This window comes from Homo sapiens, chromosome 7, assembly GCF_000001405.40.
Source record: "Homo sapiens chromosome 7, GRCh38.p14 Primary Assembly".
NCBI lineage: Eukaryota > Metazoa > Chordata > Mammalia > Primates > Hominidae > Homo > Homo sapiens.
In genome coordinates, this window is record NC_000007.14 from 82,153,078 (window position 1) to 82,174,701 (window position 21,624).

The 21,624-nt window shown below is 33.8% G+C and overlaps 1 protein-coding gene across 16 annotated transcripts in view; it reads right to left on the minus strand.

The window, feature by feature from the left end:
- Positions 1 to 21,624, minus strand: part of CACNA2D1 (calcium voltage-gated channel auxiliary subunit alpha2delta 1) — a 497,513-nt gene that overhangs the window by 206,634 nt on the left and 269,255 nt on the right. For all 16 annotated transcript variants that reach the window (XR_001744873.3, XM_005250574.4, XM_005250572.4 and 13 more), the window contains exon 4: positions 17,473 to 17,532. Coding sequence is in view for 15 of the 16 variants with exons in the window: in XM_005250574.4 (XP_005250631.1) it covers positions 17,473 to 17,532 (60 nt within the window). In the remaining variant the exon portion in view is untranslated. The remainder of the gene's footprint in view (positions 1 to 17,472; positions 17,533 to 21,624) is intronic.

The window sequence follows — 21,624 nt, forward strand, 5'->3', positions numbered from 1 at the left end:
TTGCACACTAGATCAAATGAAATTACTTTCAGACAGGCACTATTCTTAATGTCAAAGGTATATGAAAGGCTGAGACCTTGGCAAAACCTACAAACTCAGCATTTTAAGTGATCCTTAAATAACTGTTTTCCTTTTTGAAGTTTTCTTGCCACCAGTTATTCTGTTGAGATGACCAGGAGCCTAGCTCTCTCAGGAATTAATGAAGAATTAAAACTGAGATAAAAAAATCTGGACACTAAAAGCAAACTAGTTATATATAAACAAAACAGGAAACTTGAAAGAACTAGGTGGCAGATTATATATGATTAATAAAATATTTTTTAGATCTTATTTCTAATAAGTTTAATCATTACAAACTCAAATTCAAATTTCCATTAAGTAGAAGACAAATGCCCAATTGCACAATCTAAAGTTGCTCATGGAAACATTTTTCTCCAGTCTTCATTTAAAAGACCCTTGGATCTAAAGTGGTATCTAAAATTGACAAATTATGTAATAGAATCTCTAACTATATAATATAAATTTATTTGTGACAATCATCATGACTACGAATTCCAATGCCTTAAAGCTTTTAACTATAGCTTCGTATGACTACTTCTTGATGTTTAATTGACCAGTCATTGATTTATAACTGGATTATGTATAGGGATAAAGAAAATTGTTTTAAAATGTTCTGATGAAAAGTTGTCAAATTCCTCCCTCCACCCACCAAACCTTACCAAGCATCATTGTTCTAAGATATACAATTCTACCCTTAGAGCAAACTATAAAAAAAAAACACCCATTGAACAGCACAGTTAAAAATAAATATTTCAATGATAATAGTTTTAAAGAAAAACACTTAGGAGGAAGAAAAAGATAACTGTTGCAGAGCTTGTAATCCTGTAATTAAGCATTAAATCTTGTGTTAAGCTTCTTGACAGACTGGGAGAAAAGGAAATCATGATCACTAGCATGATTCTCTGTATGTGATGAAAAGGATAAATGAGATTTTTTGCCATGAGCAATAAGCTTCTGCTTATAACCAAAGCCTGTAGGACCGTGAAAAACATAATGTGTGTAGTTCTCAACAAACAGAAAAAGATGCTTCACATAACGTCTGTGTGTCTCACCCTGCCCCATATATCTGCATATGTAATGATTATCTATATTTGTATAAAAAGCAGACAATAGTCTAATATCACTTTTAATTTTTTAAATATTTGTCAGCAGAACGCTCAAATGCTTCAAGAAGTATGTGAGTTTTGTACGTGTACAGAGAACAAAGAACCTGAGATAACTGGCACTCAAGTTTCCTTCCATTAGTAGAAAGGTATGGTATGTACTGTTCTCACTCCTAAGTGGGAGTTGAACACATGGACACAGGAAGGGGAACAACACACACCAGGGCCTGTTGTGTGGTGGGGGACAAGGGGAGGGAACTTAGAGGACTGGTCAATAGGTGCAGCAAACCACTATGACACATGTATACCTAAGTAAAAAACCTACGCATTCTTTACATGTATCCTTGAGCTTAAATTTAAAAAAAGATATGGTATGCACACAAAAAATACATGCTCACGTAAATATTGAAGAAGAGTATTGTACTGAAATTAAAGAGGTATAAAATTTGATTCAGAAACTGAATGCCATATTCTGTTTTCAGATTGTATAAATCTTTGCCTTTTATAAAAAATGAACACTAGTTGGTCTTTGTAGAGTCATTTCTAGTAAAACAAGGTATAAGCAATAATGATAATGTGGTATCTATCCATTTATTGATTCAATATGAAAACTATCTGATATGGTTTGGATCTACGTCCCCACCCAAGTCTCCTGTCAAATTGTAATCCTCAGTGTTGGAGATGGGGCCTGGTGAGAGGTGACTGGATCATGGGGCAGTTTCTTATGAATGGTTCAGCACCATCTCCTTGGTGCTGTACTCATGAGAGTGAGTTCTCAGGAGAACTGGTTGTGTAAAGTGTGTGGCACCTCCCTCCTCCCCTTTCTGTCTTGCTCCTGCTCCCACCACAGGAGATGCCTTGCTCCCCCTTGCCTTCTGCCGTGATAGTAACTTTCCAGAGGTCTCCCTAGAAACCAAACAGATGTCAGCATTATGCTTGCTGTACAGCCTATGGAACCATAAGCCAGTTAAACCTATTTTCTTTTTAAATTATCCAGTATCAGGTATTTCTTTATAGCAATGCAAGAACCGACTAATAGACCATTTCATACAGTACTCACCACAAATATTAAAAAGATATACATTATTACAATTTGCAGATGAGGAAACTGATGTTCAGGTAGGTAAGCCAATGTCTCAAAGTAAGTATGTACCAAAAAAGAAATCTGAATCCAGGTCTATCAACCACAAATGCTCAAGTTACTTCCTCTAGAGCAAATTTACATTTTCATTTACTAATATAACACTACAAATATACCATACATTTTTTTGTGTAAATAAATATATTTATAAACAAGCATATCTAACTATAAGAATAATAAATCCTAACTCTCTCAACTTCTGTATGAAAAGGTTCCCTCCTGGAGCTTCCCAGGTGGTATTTTTTGCTATTAGCAAACAGAAAATTGGTTCATCAAAGCTAGATTTGACTCTAAAGTGGTCTCTGCTTCCGCAAATCTCCCTACTACTAGCCAACCAAAGCATAATGCTGATGACATTTTAAAAAATGACAAAGAGTGAAAAGGTGCAGAATATAAGATGTCATCAGCATGAAGAAAGAGTATAAAAATTACTGTCTTAATTACTGTGTATTTTGCAAAGAGCAGCTGAAACAGACAACTACAAGTTGAGGAAAAACACAGTCAAGTAGTCAGTAAAATAATACTAAGAAATATATCCTGCATACTAGTCAATGTATTCACTTTGATACTTTTAATAGTCACACATTGATATTTTTACTTACCCTCTCACCTAATTCTTGTAACACTCAATTTACTAAAAATTAAAAAGTGGGTTTAGAATTACAAATGAATTTTTATATCACCATAAGATTTGGTGTTAGCATATAAGGTCTAAAATATTTGTACCTGAAATGTAATTACATAATATTTAATGGCATACTTTTAAAAAATAATTTTAAATGAAATATGTTGGTATACCATGTGATTAACTTAATTTTCCATGCTTTTACTTTAATTCAGAAAATCTTGCTTTTAAATTTAGTTACAATCAGTGTCATCATGGCTATTTAGTTACTTGTTTTGTTGACTTCTCTTTACTCTAGCTTTCTATTTACTTTTGGTATCAGTTATCCCAGCAGGAAGCCCTTTATAACCCAGCTGTGGGCCACAAATACGGCTCCAAGGGAGCCTGAAAGCAGTTAAACTACTGCTATAGATCAGTCTTTTCCAAGGGAGAACGTGATAAATCAATCTTGAAGCAACTCAAATAGTTCTCTCTGTGTAATCAACTTTTGCTCTACATTCGCAAGTAATATATTGTTAGTCCACTTATTTTTAAAAAAGAAAATTATATATCCTCCCCATTTTATTTGACTGTATATCTTTAAAAGTATATAAATAAGAACTATAATTTTAGTATAATAGTAAATAAATTTATTTTCTTTTAATAAGAGAGATCAATGTGCATAATATCAAGTATAATCAAGATATTAAACGTTTTTTTAAATCTTTTTCTTTGTGAACAAGTAAATTGAAATGAAAAGCTGAGTAGATTTAACTTTTTCTTGAGTTAAATGTGGTTGAACTTTTTCTCAAAGGCCCCTGTTTATAAATGCATTATTAATCTGTCATGAAAGTTGCTTAAATGTTTTAGTTTCCACATTACCAAACTGACTAGCATCAACATAATTAAGTAAATTTCCTATCAAACCACACAATAGATGTTTTATATTCTTTGAAATAAAAATATTTTGATGAATTTAATTTGCTCAACAAGTAGCCTTGAATCTTACATCTTCTAAAGGAATGTAAAGCTGTTGGAGGATACGGCTCCATGGCTCTCTCAGCCATAGCTATGAATTATGGTACAATTGCCTGTCTTTCTAAATTCACAAAGCTTGCAACATGGCCAAGCAATGCTTTTGTAGCTAGACCTTGGCTTTTCTTGTCATGCTGTTTTTACTGTGAGTCAACAGAGCATGGCTCAAGATAATTTATAATCATCAATGAAATATCCTTGACATTTTCAGAATACTGTGAAAAGAAACAAAATCAAGTAGGCCATATAAAGCCCCTACACCAGAGAATCCCATGATCTAAATTTCTACAACGTTCTCTTCATGCTTATCCTGTGGGCAGTTTGATGAAAATGGCTTATAATGTGATTTTATTGATATGTGGATCAAAATTATTCATGTCTTTTTCCACCATATCCATGTATTCCACCATTTCCCATTGCCACCACAAATAAAGACTTGTGAGACAGAAGAAACTTCGAGGATTAAAATCCAGGTTATTAAATTTATGAATCAGAACGTCAGAGAAAACCTTGTAAAAATAGAGACAATTCTGGGAAGCCTCAGGATCAACATCTATGATACTAAAATAACAGAAACACCAATACTCTTTGTCAGGTCATTCCATTCCCTCCTAGCCAAAGAAGCAGGCTTACGTTATCTTGAATATATGATCTAGTCATTTTCAGCATAGGACTTTGAAAAAAGAATTTAGCAATAGGGCCACACAGATAGTTTAAATTTATTACAACTTTCATTCTGTAATCTACCCTCTCCTGAGTGTAACTAATGCTCTTTGTTTCAAAACCCAAAATGCTCAGAACATAAATACCTCAGATTTTCAAATAAAAGTATGAAAAGATAAAATGTATTAGATTTCACCAATTGTTGAGTTCTAAGGTAACAAACTCCAACATTTATAGAAACACTAAGATTGCAGTAATGATTTCAGGACATTTCTAGAGCTTAAAAGTCATGCTGAATAAACATATATGTTTACATATATATATTCAGCATAGCTGAATATATATACACATACAAATGTTTACATATGAAAACATGTTTTCAGCATGCTGAATATATGTAAACATATCTATTTTGATAAACTGGATATTTATCAGAATGAATAAATTGGATATTCATTTGAGAAATTATATTCTTGCTTTGTACAAACATATGTAAACTATATATATAATGTTTATAATATATGTTTCCATATATTTGCATAAAGCAAGAATACAATTTATCAAAATGGATATTTTTATTCTGTACTGCCCTCCTTACTTAATAGTTCATATGTATTCACTTTGCAAAGCTTTAAAATTATGTTCCAATAGGGAATTAGCACTTTTGCTAACACAATCAGTCTCAATGAAATGTATTGGCAATGTGTATGTGAAATGTGTTTGATAATGACAGGTTGCTATATACCTTGCAGATTCCACTACAAAGCAAACAGGGGAAATGGAAACCAAGTTAAAAAAAAAAAGAAAGTAAATTTGATTGCCAATAAAAGTTGAGTTATGTTTGTTTAGCTCACATGGGAATATCAGTTTGTAAACAATGTGACATTACTCATTGTCCTTTATTTAAGCCTGAGTCTACTCAAAAGCCTCAGTGAAGTCTTAGGTGAATAATTTCAATTAAGTATCAAAATAACTTGTGCTACTGGAAACAATATTAGTCCTATTTTATTGATGAGGAAACTGTGGCTTAGAGGTTAAATAATTGGCTGAAAGTTACACAATGGAAAAATGACTAAATTTCTGTCATCTTGGCTGGAGGTCCTACTTATTAGAATATGTTACTTCTACACATGATAGTTTTGATACTTACTTCATGGCTCAAAAAATAAGATAGACTTTATGTTAAACAGCAAATATCCTATTTAATAGAGTCAGATGCACAGTAAATTCTATGTTGTATAATCAATATATCTCATGTGCAAATGGTAACTTTAGGGTATCTGTTTAAATATCAGAGTATTTTCTGCTCTCTGTATTGCTGTACTGGTTTACATCATATTTTCTTTTCTTCATATTTTCTAATAACTTAAGACCAGAATTTAGAATAGCTAGCAGGTATCTAGGGGATAATCAGATGCTGCATATATTTTCAGGAACACTTATGTTGACATTGCCTATTTTGGCTTTGAAGTACAAGCTAATTGTACTACCTGCAGCTTTCTACTTTTTCCTAATAACTTCTAGCTAAAAGTATGAAACAAAATAAATCCCAGTAAGAAAGCAAAAATGGTAATCATCAAATTGCAAGACAAACCATGACTTAATCCTTTTTACCCTAAGTCTTATCAACTGCTTGAATGCTAAAAAAACTGACTGGAATGTTTGAAAGGAAGCACACTTTGTAAGATATTTGAGACTATTCATCAAGTTTCCAAGCTACCTCAGCATCTTCTCCTTTTAATCTTCCCTATATTCCATCAAATCACTAGCTTATTCAGAGATTCAGGAATCCGTCCATATCCATATTTTTCAAAAGGTGAAAGAAGAAAAACTAACCAAACACATGAGATCCTAAAATAAAAGGAATAATACCCATTATTCTTCAGTCTCAGATAAATTACAGATCTGTTCTTCAAAATGGTGATGAGAGATCTCCCCAAAAAGTGAAAGAAAATAAAAGATAAAGGGGTTCAGAATCTGATGTTATGAACCGATATAAGTTGACAAGGAAGTTGCCAGAAAACAGAGAAAAAAATCAGGTGAAAATAAGAATGGAGAAGAAAGACATGTACACAGCCAAAGCACAGATGCATATGAAAAGGACATTATTAGTGACAGGCTTTAGGAAATCATGCAAAATGAAATGTTAAAAAAAAGACTGTAATAAAGAGAAAATACCAGTTATAGAAAACAGAAAATGTAGCTCAATTAACGTGATGTTCCTGATGAAGAGAGAACATACACACACTCTCAAAAATATGCAGAAACATTATATCTCTGAAATAAAATTAAAACTTTAATATAAAGACACCAAACAATCAAAAATAAGATGTACAAGATGTATTATTCCTACTTCAATCTCAAGAATGAAGAATGTATCATTCGGAAACCAGTGGGAAAAAAATCAGTTCAATATAGGAGGAGTCTATGAACTGGAAACAGACTGATTTCAGACTTCCTACTAGCCTCTATGAATGACAAAAGACAGTGAAGCAATGTCCCAAAATTTTGAGGAAAATAATACATAATTAGCCAGGGCAACCTTCAAGTCCAAAATGAAAAGGCCAGATATTCTTAATCATACAACAACTCAGATTAGAGCATTCTACCACCTCCTTGGTCAACATACTTAACAAAATCCAATCAAATTATGAAATTAAAAAGAAAAAAATTAAAAAAGAAATAAAGTAATGAAGGGGCTATCATAAAAGTATTGCTGATAAAATTTAATCCATCAAAATATAAAATCAGTATTAAATACTGTCAGAATTTTTATTATTATAGAACATAAGACAAACCTTAATGTAAAAGTAATAATTTAATAAGATTTGGGAGATATGTGGAAGGTGAGAAGAAATGCTCCATTACCTAGGCTGGAGTGCTGTAGCACAATCACTGCTCACGCCTCCCAAGTAGCTGGGACTACAGGTGTGTGCCACCATGCCCAGATAATTTTTTAATTGTAGACCTTGTAGAGACAAGGTCTCCTTACGTGGCCCAGGCTAATCTTGAAATCCTGGGCTCAAGTGATCCTCATGCCTTGGCCTCCCAAGTGCTGGGATTATGGGCAGAAGCCACCACACCTGGCATTTTCTACTATTTTATAAAATTGTTTCTTAATTCCAAGAAAAAAATCTCATCATTCTCTTCTATTTAACTGACTAAAAATCTTATTTGCCTATGTGTATGCTGGGTCACTATTGTAGGGAAAAAATATCTTTTCATCCCATTTTAGGTTCCATAGCTGAGACTCCTATAATAAGAGTTTAACAATAGAAAAGCTATACATTTACTTAATATATGTTTTATGTGACACGAGAGCCTTCATAAGGAAATGAAGACCCAAAGAAACAGGGCACCTTGTGTATTTTTTATGCTAGGTTTGATGGGCAAGTAGATAGTTGTGGAAAAGTCTGATTGGATTAAAAAAGCTTCATCTGATGGAGATAAGCTGGGGGAAACTCAGCAAGACCTGTTTGTTGAGATTTTTCTTTGTATCCCTGTATCTTCAGAGATGAGGATGTTCCTTTCCTTCCTTTCTCTGAGGGTTTTATGGCTTCAGGAAAGAAAGACATGAGGGAAGGTCAAAGAGACCTCCCTGCCCCCATGGTTTTCTTTGATTCCTTCAGCTTAAAATATTTTGGGGTAGCATGTACTGAACCTCATTATTAGAATTCTATAAAACAATTTTGTGGATACCAAAGAATAGTGGAGTGGATTCCGATTCATAATTTGATTAATAATCTCAAGATTATGCTGCCTGCAGGATATGAATGTTTTCTGGGGAAAAATGTTGTTAGTGGAGATGAAGAGAAATGAATGCTTGCTTGGTAAATTTTGGAGTTGGAATTGACAAAATTTGCAGATTAACTACATGTGGAGTTATGGCAGAGAAAGGAATTAAGATTACTCCTGAATTTGAGCTATATTAACTGGAGGAGAAAGTGATCCTTTGAGATGCAAAACTTAACAGAAGATCAGGATGCTGATGGAGAAAAGTAATAGAAATAATAGTTCACTTGCGAATGTTAGTCTTGACATGCCAGTGAGACAGGTAAATGAAAACAGCAAGCATGTCATCGGATAAATGAGCCTAAAGCTCAGAAAAGAGGTTTGGGTGTTATTACATGTAAATCCAACAATATGGATCAAGTGTCCTTGGAGGAATATGGGCATTAAAGATGAGAGGGCAAAGACTGTGCCCTAAATTTAGACAACATTAAAGACACAGAGGTACTGTAAAGGAAAAGGTACCAATAAAGACTGAAAAGGAATGGGTAGTGAAAAGTAGGAAATCAGGGAAAGTGAGGTTTCCTGATAACTAAAGAAGTGTTTGAAGAAAGGAAATACAGTAAGTGGTGCACTAAAATGATGAAAAGACATGAAGTGTGAAGATAAATAGAACATGCTCATTCGATTTGATGACATAGAGGTAGTTGTTAACTACAAAGAAGAGCTTCACCATAGATGAAATTTAAAGTCAAATTGGAGTGGGCTGGCCAGTGAGTAAAGGTGAAAATGTGAAAAATGCAGAGGTCCACATAACTTTTGGAGGTTTGCAGTATAAAACAGCAAAGAAATGTGGCAGAGCTAGAAGGGGTAATAGACTTTTTTTTTTCTTTAATGTTGGAAGATACTGGAGCTAGTATGTATGTGGATGAAAAGATAAAGTGAAAAAACTTTTTGATTAACGAAAGAGAAGATAGCATAAGAAAGAAATCCACGGCTAGGCTGGTTTGGAAGGTTGTAAGTTGATGAGACTATCCACAGAAGGCATGAGCTTTAAAGGAGGAGGTCATTTTGCACAGCAGGGGAGAGCTGGTCATTCCTTTCAATTCCTATAGCATTTCTTTAATATGTAAACAAATCCAGTACAGACATCCAGCTACAAACTTCTTAAGAACTTGAAGAAAAATGTAGATGAATATTCTTTAGTATTTCTTCTTTTTTAAGAGACTTTAAGTTTAAATGACAGATCTCTCAAAAGCATCTTCTTTCTACTTAGAGACATCTTTTCTGACTAAGCTTCTGGTTGCAATATCCACTCTCTCAACCCCAATCCAGACCCTTTTCAGTACTCTGGACAAATATTATCTCTCCATTGAAACCAGTCTACTAAGCCCTCAGTCCCCGGGGTCAGCTTTCCTGGGTAGCTCCCAATGTCAAAATGTATTCCACTAGTGACTGCACCCCATGCCTATATTAATCATCTGTGCCTTGTACTTTGCTTCCTTATTTTAAAGCTTCAATTTTCACTGTAGTGTCAGCCCTTTAGGAAGAAAACTCTCAGGCCAGGCCTTCGAGTCCTGGAACATTTCCTCTTTCCCACAGTAATATTAACATAGCCATTAATATATCTATAACTCCACCAAATTGAAATTATTCCAGCATCTGATGTTATTCTTCATACAAAAATTATCTCTGGGAATACAGTGATTTCCCTAGGGTTCTGTTCTGAAGGATTGACAATAAATGGAAATATATATTAGTCTCCACATTTTCCAACTTCTTTGAAGAAATACATCTGAAGGGAGATAGTACCTCTATATTAAAATTATCATTTTTAAAGACTTTCCAAAATTTTAGGCATATTTGTATAAATTATCTCATTTAATTTAAAAACAACTTTTTGGAGACATGAAAGTATATAGCAATAGGTCCCCTCTAGGCTAAACCTGAATGATAACAATATATGTTTGGAGATGGCAAGTTATCAGGAATGTCTTTTCATGCATTCAGTTCCTGGAGGTCAATTGATTATCATTTCCTAAAGAAGGAGAAATACATGGACAAGAATGCATACAGACATTGAGAAGATGAGGGTAAAGTAAGAAATAAAGACACACAAAGAAAGGCACTTCTGCCTTTAGAGAGAGAATGATTAAATAAATGATGAATGAGCCGTTTTCTTCAGAACTTTGTGACACAGGTAGTATGAGAAAGAGCTTCAGGTCTCTTATTAAAAACCTTTTGGGTTGGAAATAGGGGCACTCACCCCATTTTTGCATAGAGCACATTGAATCCAGCTCAAAGACTTCACACTTTGGGATGTTGCAATGGCAAACATAGTACAACAGTAATAGGAGCTGGCAGATGCTCACTAGACTAGGCAAATATCCATCAAGAGACTGTGCCAACTTGCTTGTGAACACCTGAGACAAACCCTGGGGTTTCTAGAAATATCATCCTTGGAAGAGAGATAGTACTCATAGAAGCAGAGAAAGACAATTATCAAGCATCTTGCAGTAATAATTATGCTGCTGGAGATCACAGAGCCAAGAGTTTTTAGATTAAAAAAATTAATATTCAAATAGGCTATTATTTTGCTAAAAGTGCACAGCAAGTTGTTGGCAGACCTAAAATCTGAAGTAGATTTGCACAACTCCAAGACTGAGGCGCCATGACTATACCAAAGCTGTGTACAGATATATTCAGACATGTAAAAGTGCAGTTCAAATTTTCATTATCTCCACAGTAATATTGTCAATAATGCTTACAAGCAAAAACAGATATCCTAATACTACAAGTAATTATTTTTTAATTAAAAAATTGTATATAGGCCACTCTGGCATATATTGGACTAGACTATGGTTTTCTTAGTAATGCATTAGCCACGGTTTTATCCCCAAGAAGTTTATATTTTAGCAGTTAAAAGTGAAGAAAGGAAAACTACACAGTGAGCTATACTTGAATTAAACATATATTGGGCATTGGGGAGCATATAAAACAGAAATAACATTGTTAGACAAAAAATCTAACATTGGTTGATCAAAAATATGAAGAAATTGGAGAAAGAAGAAATTTCTAGGCAGAGATTATCAAAAGGTCTGAAAGTGAAGAAAAGAATACTGTTCTAGGGAAATGTCCAGTCATTTACTCTGCTTTGAGCTTAGAATTTCAGGACAGGAGTAATAGCTGCTGGAGAGATTATGCAATACAAAATTTAGGAAAGGCTAGATGGGGCCAGGTCATAAAGGGCTTAGTATACCCTAAATATATGCTATTAATAAATGGAGAGTCACTGAAGATTTTTGAACAAGGATATGAAATGGATGGAAATACGTATATGGAGTAAATCTTCTTAGATTATGCATTAAATGAAAATTGCAGTAATTTGTAATGCTTATGTATTTTTTTCTTAATTTTTTTATTTTGCAGTTCAGAAATACAGTACACTCCCATTTTAATGCAAATAAGCAGTATACAACAATTTTAATAAAATGTAGCTCAAGTTACGGAGAGGCTAATGAAATTGGAGTTCAAAAACCCTCTTTTGACAGCTGCAATTCGGTACCAGCTGGTGGCAGTAATCTACTCCAGACTAAACATCAATGAGGATGATTCAGCTCTGCATGGCTGAAATTTTTAGGACATTGGCAGCAATCCCAGGAATCTCCCAATAATTTAGCACTATTTTCATCATCTCAATCCCAGGATATTGAAGCAGCGGATTGGTCCTGAAAATATAGAGAACCACCTTCTACCTCCCCATTTCCTAAGCCAAGGGTGTTTGTCCTCTTTTAACTTTTCCCTCCTTTCCTGAGAGGAGAGGGAAGGAAGAGAAAGAAGGAAATTTACCCAGCCTCATTTATATCTACATGTACTTTATCACAGGACATATCATCATGATGTCTGACTGCAGGGGCTTCCACTGTACTATCACGTACTATTGTCATTTTGGCTTTAATAGAAATGGAAAGTGAGGTCAGTAAAATCATTAGAAAATATTAAAAATTGTTAACTGTGAAACCAGTGTTTTTGACTAGGTAATTAATGATTAAATATTTTGCTTCTTTTCAATATAAAAAACAAAAGAGATAGGTTATCACCCAGCATAACTAACAATTTAAAGCCCATGGTTAATATTTTTTATGCTGGTGTTGTAATACTCTTACCATGGCATTTATACGTATGCATGAACAACAACAGTAAGGCACACAAATACGCCTGACTCCTTTACATTACATTGGTTTTCCAGAATTTTGGAGTAAATGAGCTTTGCATTATGGCTTTTAATCTATCTTTATGATGAAGATAAAGTCTCAAGACTCTTAAAAAGCCGTAACAAAAAATTGTTTCCCTACATAGCAGAAATGTTGCAAAAACATTAAAATATGCAAGCTCTTGATTTCAAGAGTGTTTCAACCAAAGGTGGAAACTAAGAAAGACTAAATAAAGCCAGAGCCTAAAATCATTTTGGTGATCTATTAAAATTCACTTATTTATTCATTAAGACAATGCTACGCTCTCACTTTTTATCCCTAAAAGTCAGTTCTTTCAATATCCAAGACCTCATACCAAGTGACTGTCTGTCTTCGATTCTAAGTAAAACAAATACAGTGTGTTTTCCCATTCCACATATTCAAAAATGTTTCTGCTACAATCAATAAAAACGATGCAATTTCATGAAATGAATAAGGATAGATGAAATGATTAAATACATAATGCCGGTGCCTATTAGTTTAACTCGCATAAACACAAAATTTAAAATATCAACATTTCAAAATATGATTTGGCAAAGTAATTTTAATATTATAAAATTAAAGCTATAACTGGAGAACTAAATTAGCCTGACGGACACTCAATAACGTACAACTTCACTAGAAACATTTTCACCTTCTAATTTACTTTGTGAAGCTGAAGCTAAAAGGGACTCTTCAAATGTTTTATTTACCGGCCAATTTCTAGACGTCTGTACTCTGCCTGCACAGTAACAAGCTGGTGCTAATAAGCCATACATAAAGATCCTACTTATTAAAATACAAATTAGACACCCCTTATGTTTATACATGTGTAAGTACAATTAATATTGCAAGCTTCCTTGGAAACAAAATTGCTTTAGTTAACCAACCATTGCAATGCAATCAAATGAGATTTGAAATGCAATTGGAAAAGATCTGTTTGGTAGAAATAGCAATTATTTCATGCAGAACAATTAGCTTTCCAAGCTCTTTTTTGCTTCTCCCACCTGCCCTTAATAGAATAATTTGTCCATCATAAGTGACATGAAATGTCACCTTTAACACCCATAAATTGTATGGAGACCTAGCAGGCAGCTGGTAGACATAGCTTATTTACAAATATTAGTTTGAACTTGTAAATGCATGACCACATAAATCTTAATCCATTTAGGGTGTACGCCCTTTGTTCCCTCAATTGTGTATTCAGTTGGGAATTGAATGGAGCTGAGAGAGAGTGTGAATTGCATAAGTCCTTTGTTGTTGCCAGCATATTAGTGCTTTGCCTTTTGTTCTTGTTGTTCATGAGATTTCTCTACATTACACAGTAGGGAAGGTTAATCAACATTTTGCCTAAGTAATATTAATGAAACTTGCCTACTTACACTTGAGGGAAGAATCAGAATATTACATTGCTCTTTGAAATGTTAATGTACCTTTTAGGAAATTATGTCTGCCTTCTAAATCATCTTAGTGTTAAATTATTAAAGGATGGCATTAAAGAAATATTGCACAGATGCACATTGTTAAATACCTTAAAAGATAAAAGAATTATAAAGTTTAAAAGAAGGACCTTTTGAAAGATGATAAAATTTATCTTCAAATTAACCATTTTTAAATGTTTGGTTAAAATATTGAGAAAATTTACAATTGTTTTGTGTGCTTTCACAAAACAAGAGATTTAATGTTAATGATTTATAAGTTTCAACCACGAATTTGAACTGTATTCTGCTCTGGTCTTGAAGGATTTATTTAACCTTGCTGTATCTGTGCACTAAAGCACCACCTAGTTTATTAGGAACAAAAAAAAAGCTGAGAGGAATGTATTATTTTTGTACTTTTTACTTATTTGAGTCTTAAGATTAGATAGTCTTCATTGAGGTTCTATTCTCCAAGCACAAAAACGACCACTATCTAAACCTTCTATCACTCTATGGCATTTCAAAGGGAAGGGCTATCATAAAGACTATGTATGGCTGCCAAGGTTAGATATGGGAAATAGCAATTCTCAATGTGCAAACTGTGACAGACCTGTGTCCTGTCAACATCATTCACGGTCCTTCAGGAAGGATGCTCAGGAAATGAGTTGACAGGACTCTAAGTGGTCTAACTTGTTTTCCCTTTAACAGTCTCTTTTGATGTCAATCAGTATGTCAACAGGCCCTAAATAAATTGTGAGGTAACCAAGGGGGAAATTAGGAACAGAATTTCTTCAAGAATTCTCCCACATGGTGACCACCATTTGCTAAGAATTCCTAATACTTACTGGGCAAATAATTCATTTTCTATTTCACCATAGAAGATTTAGTAATGGCTTTTGTATTATTGTGGGACTGATTTGTCCTCTTGCACAATGTTTTTTTAGCAGTACTGCTACTTGGATAGAGGCACCAAAAAAGTAGAAAATAAGGGTTACATTTCAAGATAATTTTTTTCACTTTTTGACATCTCTAAGAATACAGCATACAATTGCTGATGCATCATAATTTAAGTGGCTTTTTTGGTGGGGGCTTGGGGGAGATGAGGTCTCTCTCTGTTGCCCAGGCTGGAGTAGTACAGTGTCATGATCTTGGCTCACTGCACCCTCCACCTCCCAGGTTCAAGTGATTCTCCTGCCTCAGCCTACCAAGTAGCTGGGATTACAGGCATGCACCACCACGCACAGCTAATTTTTGTATTTTTAGTGGAGATAGGGTTTCTCCATGTTGACAAGGCTGGTTTTGAACTTCTGGCCTAAAGTAATCCACCCACCTTGGCCTCCCAAAGTGCTGGGATTACAGGTGTAAGCCACCATGCCCGGCCAAGTGGCTTTTTCTTAGAAATAACTAAAATAAATAGAATGACTAAGTGCCTTACAATTGATGATTTACATTCAATAAAATATGGTAATAGCAAACTTGAATTTAGAGTTTTTGTATTGTGTTTGTGTTGTGGTTACCCATTACCTCAATATAGAAAACAAAATAATTGCCAAATGTTAGTGTTAATGAGCCCAATATTAAAGAGTTCACAATGTCTAGGAAATGAAACCTTATGTCTAGAAATTAATAAATAATAGTTAAATGAAACAACAATGATATAGGCATTACTACAACCCTACTTGCCAAGTTATTTTTTTCCACATTATTGCTCTTTAGAAAAGTGAAAACAACATACAACTAATAAATGACTACTTAAAATACTACCAAATGAATTTAAGGCAAAGAAAAAGGGTGCTTTGAACAGGGAATGTATAATCTATATATTTCAGAGGCTGAGTTTGTGTGTCTGTTTTGAGTTCTCCGAATTACTGAAGATTCAAACTAAAACAGCACCAAGGGTATTATATCTATGCTAGGCAGAATACATGATCTAGCCATACATCTATTATGACTTTACACTGCTTTTACCATGCACGCTTTATGTTGTGGGACATAAGGGAAGAGTAATTTATATTTAATGTTGTTAATCAAACATATATTTAGCTAGATTTGTTTTGCTGCTTTTTCCCTATTTGCAAAAACAAAAAAAATCGTTTTTATCTAAAAGCAACTAAGTATATTGTAAGCCTCTTCATTCACTAGATGAGCTTACAGTTTGCTCGATGCTCTAGGAGCTTATGTTTTTAGCTTAATCATTGATTTTTTCCTTAATATATCATGGATAGCAAATTGATCTTTATTAACCTGTGTATGATAAAGGTTGTAGACAAAGCCAATACCTACATAATATTAATACCAATCAAGTTAAGTGATATGATCAGTTCAGTAGAGAATCAAACAAACTGGCAGTTGTCAAATAGAGTCTCTCATTAGTAGACTGTTTAAAATATATAAATAAGTGATAAACAGTAAAAATAAATAATATCACAAGTATCAAGAATGGAAGACTATTATATACATGAATTAAATATCATTTAGTGCATTTTCCTTTGATATTCAACATAATCATAGAAACACAAAGAAGTGCTAATTCTTAAACCTCAGTTTAGTGTCTACTGAAGCACAACTACATACCTTCAAATTTGAGACTTTTGCTTTGCAAAGAGTACAATTAAGCTGTCGCTCACATTCTAAACCTATTTTAAATGTGGGAAGGTAGAGGGCAGTTGTTTACATCCCCAAAATGAGTTGTCTGGAAGTTTTCTGTGATCAGAAATTATAAAGATTTTCTTTCACTACAACTGTAATCACTCAAGTATGTAACAGAAGTACTTTCTGATTATTAAGGAATTTTTTTTTTTTTACTGTGCCCCTTGGCTATAAGAGGATAGATAAATGATAGATATGCAGACCTTACCACAAGGAGAATTTCTGCTATTTCTATAAACTAGTAACTCTTAGTTCATAAAACAAGTTTATTAAGAAAAAAAAAACATGCAACCGCTAATGTCAGCTGACATTTCTCAAAGTAGGCCAGAGTAGAAGAGAGATTACTTCTAGCTAAAGTGAAGCAAATTAAATTTTAAGAAGTTGAATATATTCATTCTCACTTTCATCATATTGCCCACCATCAAGGTGATTATAATATGTATACTGCTTCTTACAAACTCAAAGTAGTTAAAAGCAACTTTTTCCAACTTGTATATTCATAATATCGACAAAAATTATTCAGATATTAAAATTTAATGCTATTTTTAATGTATTTTATAAATAATGTACCTTTAATTATGGGAGAACATTTCAAGGGTTTTAAAGGGTTTTTTGGTTTTTGTTTTTTTTTGGTAATATGGAACATAAAGTACATTTTGGCTAACTTAATTGGCCCTGATTACCCAAAAGCAATTTATTTAAAAAGCAACAAGTATGATTATTTTTAATCCCACAACATCATAAGATTCCATCATTAAAATATATTTTAATATGCATGTAATTATCCATACACAATATGTCAAGCTATTTAAATCAAGTAGTTAAAAGGGGTTCTTACTGCAAAATCTTCTCTCCACTGGTGAGCTGCTTGAACTTTCTCCGCTTCCAATGCCAGGCGCTGAAAAACAAACAATAAATCTTAGAATTCAAATGAACACGTAATATGGAATTGTTATATAAAATGCTTGCGCTTTCTAATCAATTTTGAGGACATAAAAAGCAGAAGATGATCCTTATTTATGATTCATAAATTCTAAATCATTTAGTAATCTAACCTACTAAAGTTGATGTTTGTATATTTACTCTTCAGCAATATAAATAATATACTATTCTTGAATACCATTAAGTTTGTTACCTCTGCCATCATCAGCTATAGTGTCCTCTATGAGTGCTTTCTTTCAATGACTAATACTTCAGTTTTTAGAAAAACACTTAAGTATACTAATTTTCATAGAATCTTATTTTTAGTAAATACCTTTGGAGCATACATTTCTCTTAAAAAATGACATTGAGAGATTAATATGCACTAAACAATATACTAGGCACCTTCTTAAATGCATATTGAGTTTTTACCAAAAGCCACAAAAGCTGAAATAACTTCCCCTTTGATGAAGTACATCTTTAGTAGTTCTTTCAGCGATAATCTTTGATAGAGGATTTGTGCATCTTAAAATTGCTTTATTTCACCTTCAATCGTGTATGCTAAAGTAGTTAAGAATTATAAGCCAATTTATTTTCCTATAGCACTTTCGAAATGCTATTCCATTAAGTTCAGTGGGAGATGACATTGCTAGTGTCAGCCTGCCAATCACTTTTTATAAACTTTTTTTTCCCCTATTCCAATAGCTTTTAGACTTTTCTCTTTGTATTTTTCAACTTCACTATGATGTTCTCCATGTGATAGGCTTTCATAAGACAGTGACATTTAATGGTTAGGAACACAGAGTTGGGGACCCGACTGCCTAGATTTGAATATCAGCCCTTGCAAACTACTAGCTGTGCAACCTTGGGAAAAGTTAAGACTCTTCTCCCATTCTCTCATGTGAGTAATGTGAAAGCCTGCCTCATGGCTTATTGGAAGGACTAAATGAGTTACAAAGTGCTTAGAACAGTGCCTGGCACAAACTAAACAATATATATGTCAACTATCAACTTCAAAGAGTAATGGTTCTGTTTTCTCCCTGGATCCCCTAGAGAAAATAGTGCAGTGTTGAGTTTATTTGTGGTTTGCCTTATGCAGCTAGAAGATAGTGATAAAACTGAGCAAACAGAAAAGTAAATATAATAAATATACTAAACTCACTTATTAAGGTATAGAAATTATCAGGTTAGGTTTAAAAAATTACAAATCTCAGAGTCATTTATTGATTCATGCTGTTTGTGATCTATGAACTATTCCTTAGCGTAAGTTCTTCCTGTGGAGGTCCAGTCTACACTGGATAAACATCCTTCTAGACCAGTTTTTATATTAATGTATTGGCTTCTATCCCTGTGATTATAATCTATTCATTTTTCTAAGCTGTTGCATAGGTTTTATCAGTGACTCTATAATATTGCCTAGTGGGAGATCTCAATTTAAGAGTCCCAAAGCTAAATTTAAGTGAAAATCTATCATAGTGTGCCAAAAGGACAATGGTTTTGTTTTTCACTACTAGGTAGAAATGGAGTATATAAGAAGCTAGGAAATGTTAGAAATTGTACCACATAGAGTAACCAAAAGGCGGCTCCCTCTCCCTACAAAAACAAAAAACTAAGCAGCAAAGCCAAAAGACAAGCATATACATTTCAGGAACACTGCATCATAATACTTTTAGAAACTCAACTTCACATGAAAAATGAAGCAAAACATGAATAAAATGGCAAAAGGAATGGAAATGGAAGCAACTCTTCTATAGAAACACTTCAGTATGGGAAGATAAGGAAAGAGAAGATAGAATGAGAAAATAAGCATGAAGGCTTTTTCTTTTTTTCTTTGTTTTGATATAGGGTCTCACTCTGTCTCCCAGCCTGGAGTACAGTGGTGCAATCATAGCTCCCTGCAGCCTTGACCTCCTGGGCTCAAGTGATCCTCCCACTTCAGCCTCCTAAGTAGCTGGGACTACAGGTTTGCATCAAGAAACCCGGCTTTTTTTTTTTTTTTTTTTTTTTTGGTAAAGATGGGGTCTCAAACTCCTAGCCTCAAATTATCCTCCTATCTCAGCCTCCCAAAGTGCTGGTATTACACACATGAGCCATCCTGCCCGGCCAAAGACATGCCCTTGACAAAATTTGCAATGTAAATCTTCCCCCATTTAAAAAAAAAAAAAAGCAGTATAATAATAGTAACTAAACTTTTACATGTATGGGCAAAAAAAAAATTCTGGAACTTAAACAAAATTCTGAATAAAATACTAAACCTTTTTAGATTAAGAAACATTAGAACTCTAAGATGTCTTTGTGTCTTAGAGAAGAATATTAAGTTTTTTCTTCAGAATACACAGGAAGATGCTGTTTCAGCAAACAAAACACACTAGTGAGCATTCACCCACAGGGCTATGCAGTTTCCAAGGTACCAGCTGTTAACTCTACCAGATCTTTCCTCCTTGGGAGTGCATGAGAAAGTGCAATTCAACTGATCTGACCCAGAATCACGTGGCTTATGACATGAACATAATCCATGTTTAGTAAGTTATAGTGACAGTAATCATCACAGTTAACTATTTCCAGAGAAACAGAATAACAGTGGCAACAAACTATAACACAATTCCCTAGGAGGAAGATAGTCCAAATCGGCTTTATTTATATGTATTTTGAACACTAATTTTATAAAGTAAATGCCCTGTATTGCAAGACTCTGAAAATGTTTTTAGAAAAATAAAGGCATGAAGTTATGTATACCAAAGAAGTTATGTATTTTAAAAGGCTGGTCTGAAGCTTGAAAGTTGCTAAATTTCATATCCCCAGGTTGGAATTTTAGAAATATATAATCATGAAAACTCTACTCCTGTTAATTTCTTTGTTCATGAAGAAATTAATAAATATTTTTACCTAGCAAATTTCATGACAAAGCATATAATACTAAACTTTAGAGACTTAGTCTATCTCGGGACTAGAGTCAACAGTCACTGGGTGGTGCTACAAACCAGCCGGTCATTACTTATAGAAAACCGACATGTCTTCTAGACACTTTAAGCCTTTAATTCACTTCTGTTTTGGTCAAATGACATTTTATTTTTAAAGCTAATGAGCTACCATTAAATGGCACCGGTGAATTGTGTTAAGGCTGTCAAAGGCCAGGCACATGGCTCATGCCTGTAATCCCAATACTTTGGGAAGGGGAGGTGGGGAAAATCTCTTGAGGCCAGGAGTTCAAGACCAGCCTGGGCAGCATAGTGAGATCCTGTCTCTAAAAAAATAACACAATTAGCCAGGCATGGTGGCACATGCCTATCATCCCAGCTACTCAGGGGGCTGAGGCAGGAGGGTCACTTGAATCCAGGAGTTCAAAGTTACAGTGATCTATGATGGTACCACTGCACTGCAGCCTGAGCTATAGTGCAAGACCCTGTCTCAAAAAAAAAAAAAAAAAAAAAAAAAAGACACAAAATACCCAATAAAATGTGAGTATCTGCTCAACAGAACATCCCTGTTTCCATAGTTGGCTATATAAGTATATCCTGTAACAATAACTTACTTCAGAAAAAAAAAAATAAAAAACAGAACACTTTTCTGATTTATGGCACAGCATAATATAGTATCAGACCTTAAAACCAGACTGAGCACCACACAGAAATAAAAAACCTGGATTACAATGAATACCTATGAGAAAAATTTGAAGCTTAATTCTGCTAATATTACGATATTCAGCAAGGTTTATTAAATGGCTTTATTGTAACTGAGATACCACATGTATATATGAAAATCCTTTGGATATCAAATAAGTATTTATAAAAAGTAATAGATGTGTTAAGAATGTATACATCCCTACCTACTTATTGGTTTGAACATTTAAAATAGAAAATCACTATAAAGGTTTTAAGGACTTACAACTATAACAAAATAGACTTGACCCCAGACTTTCTGACTCCAAAGCTTATGCTCCTTCCACAAGACCATTCTTTAGATTCCTATAAAACTCATCAGAGTATATATGAAGACAGAGTAATATCAAAACCAAAACACTAGAATTCAATTTTAGGTTAATAAAAAAATCCCCAGCAAGGTTTTAGAA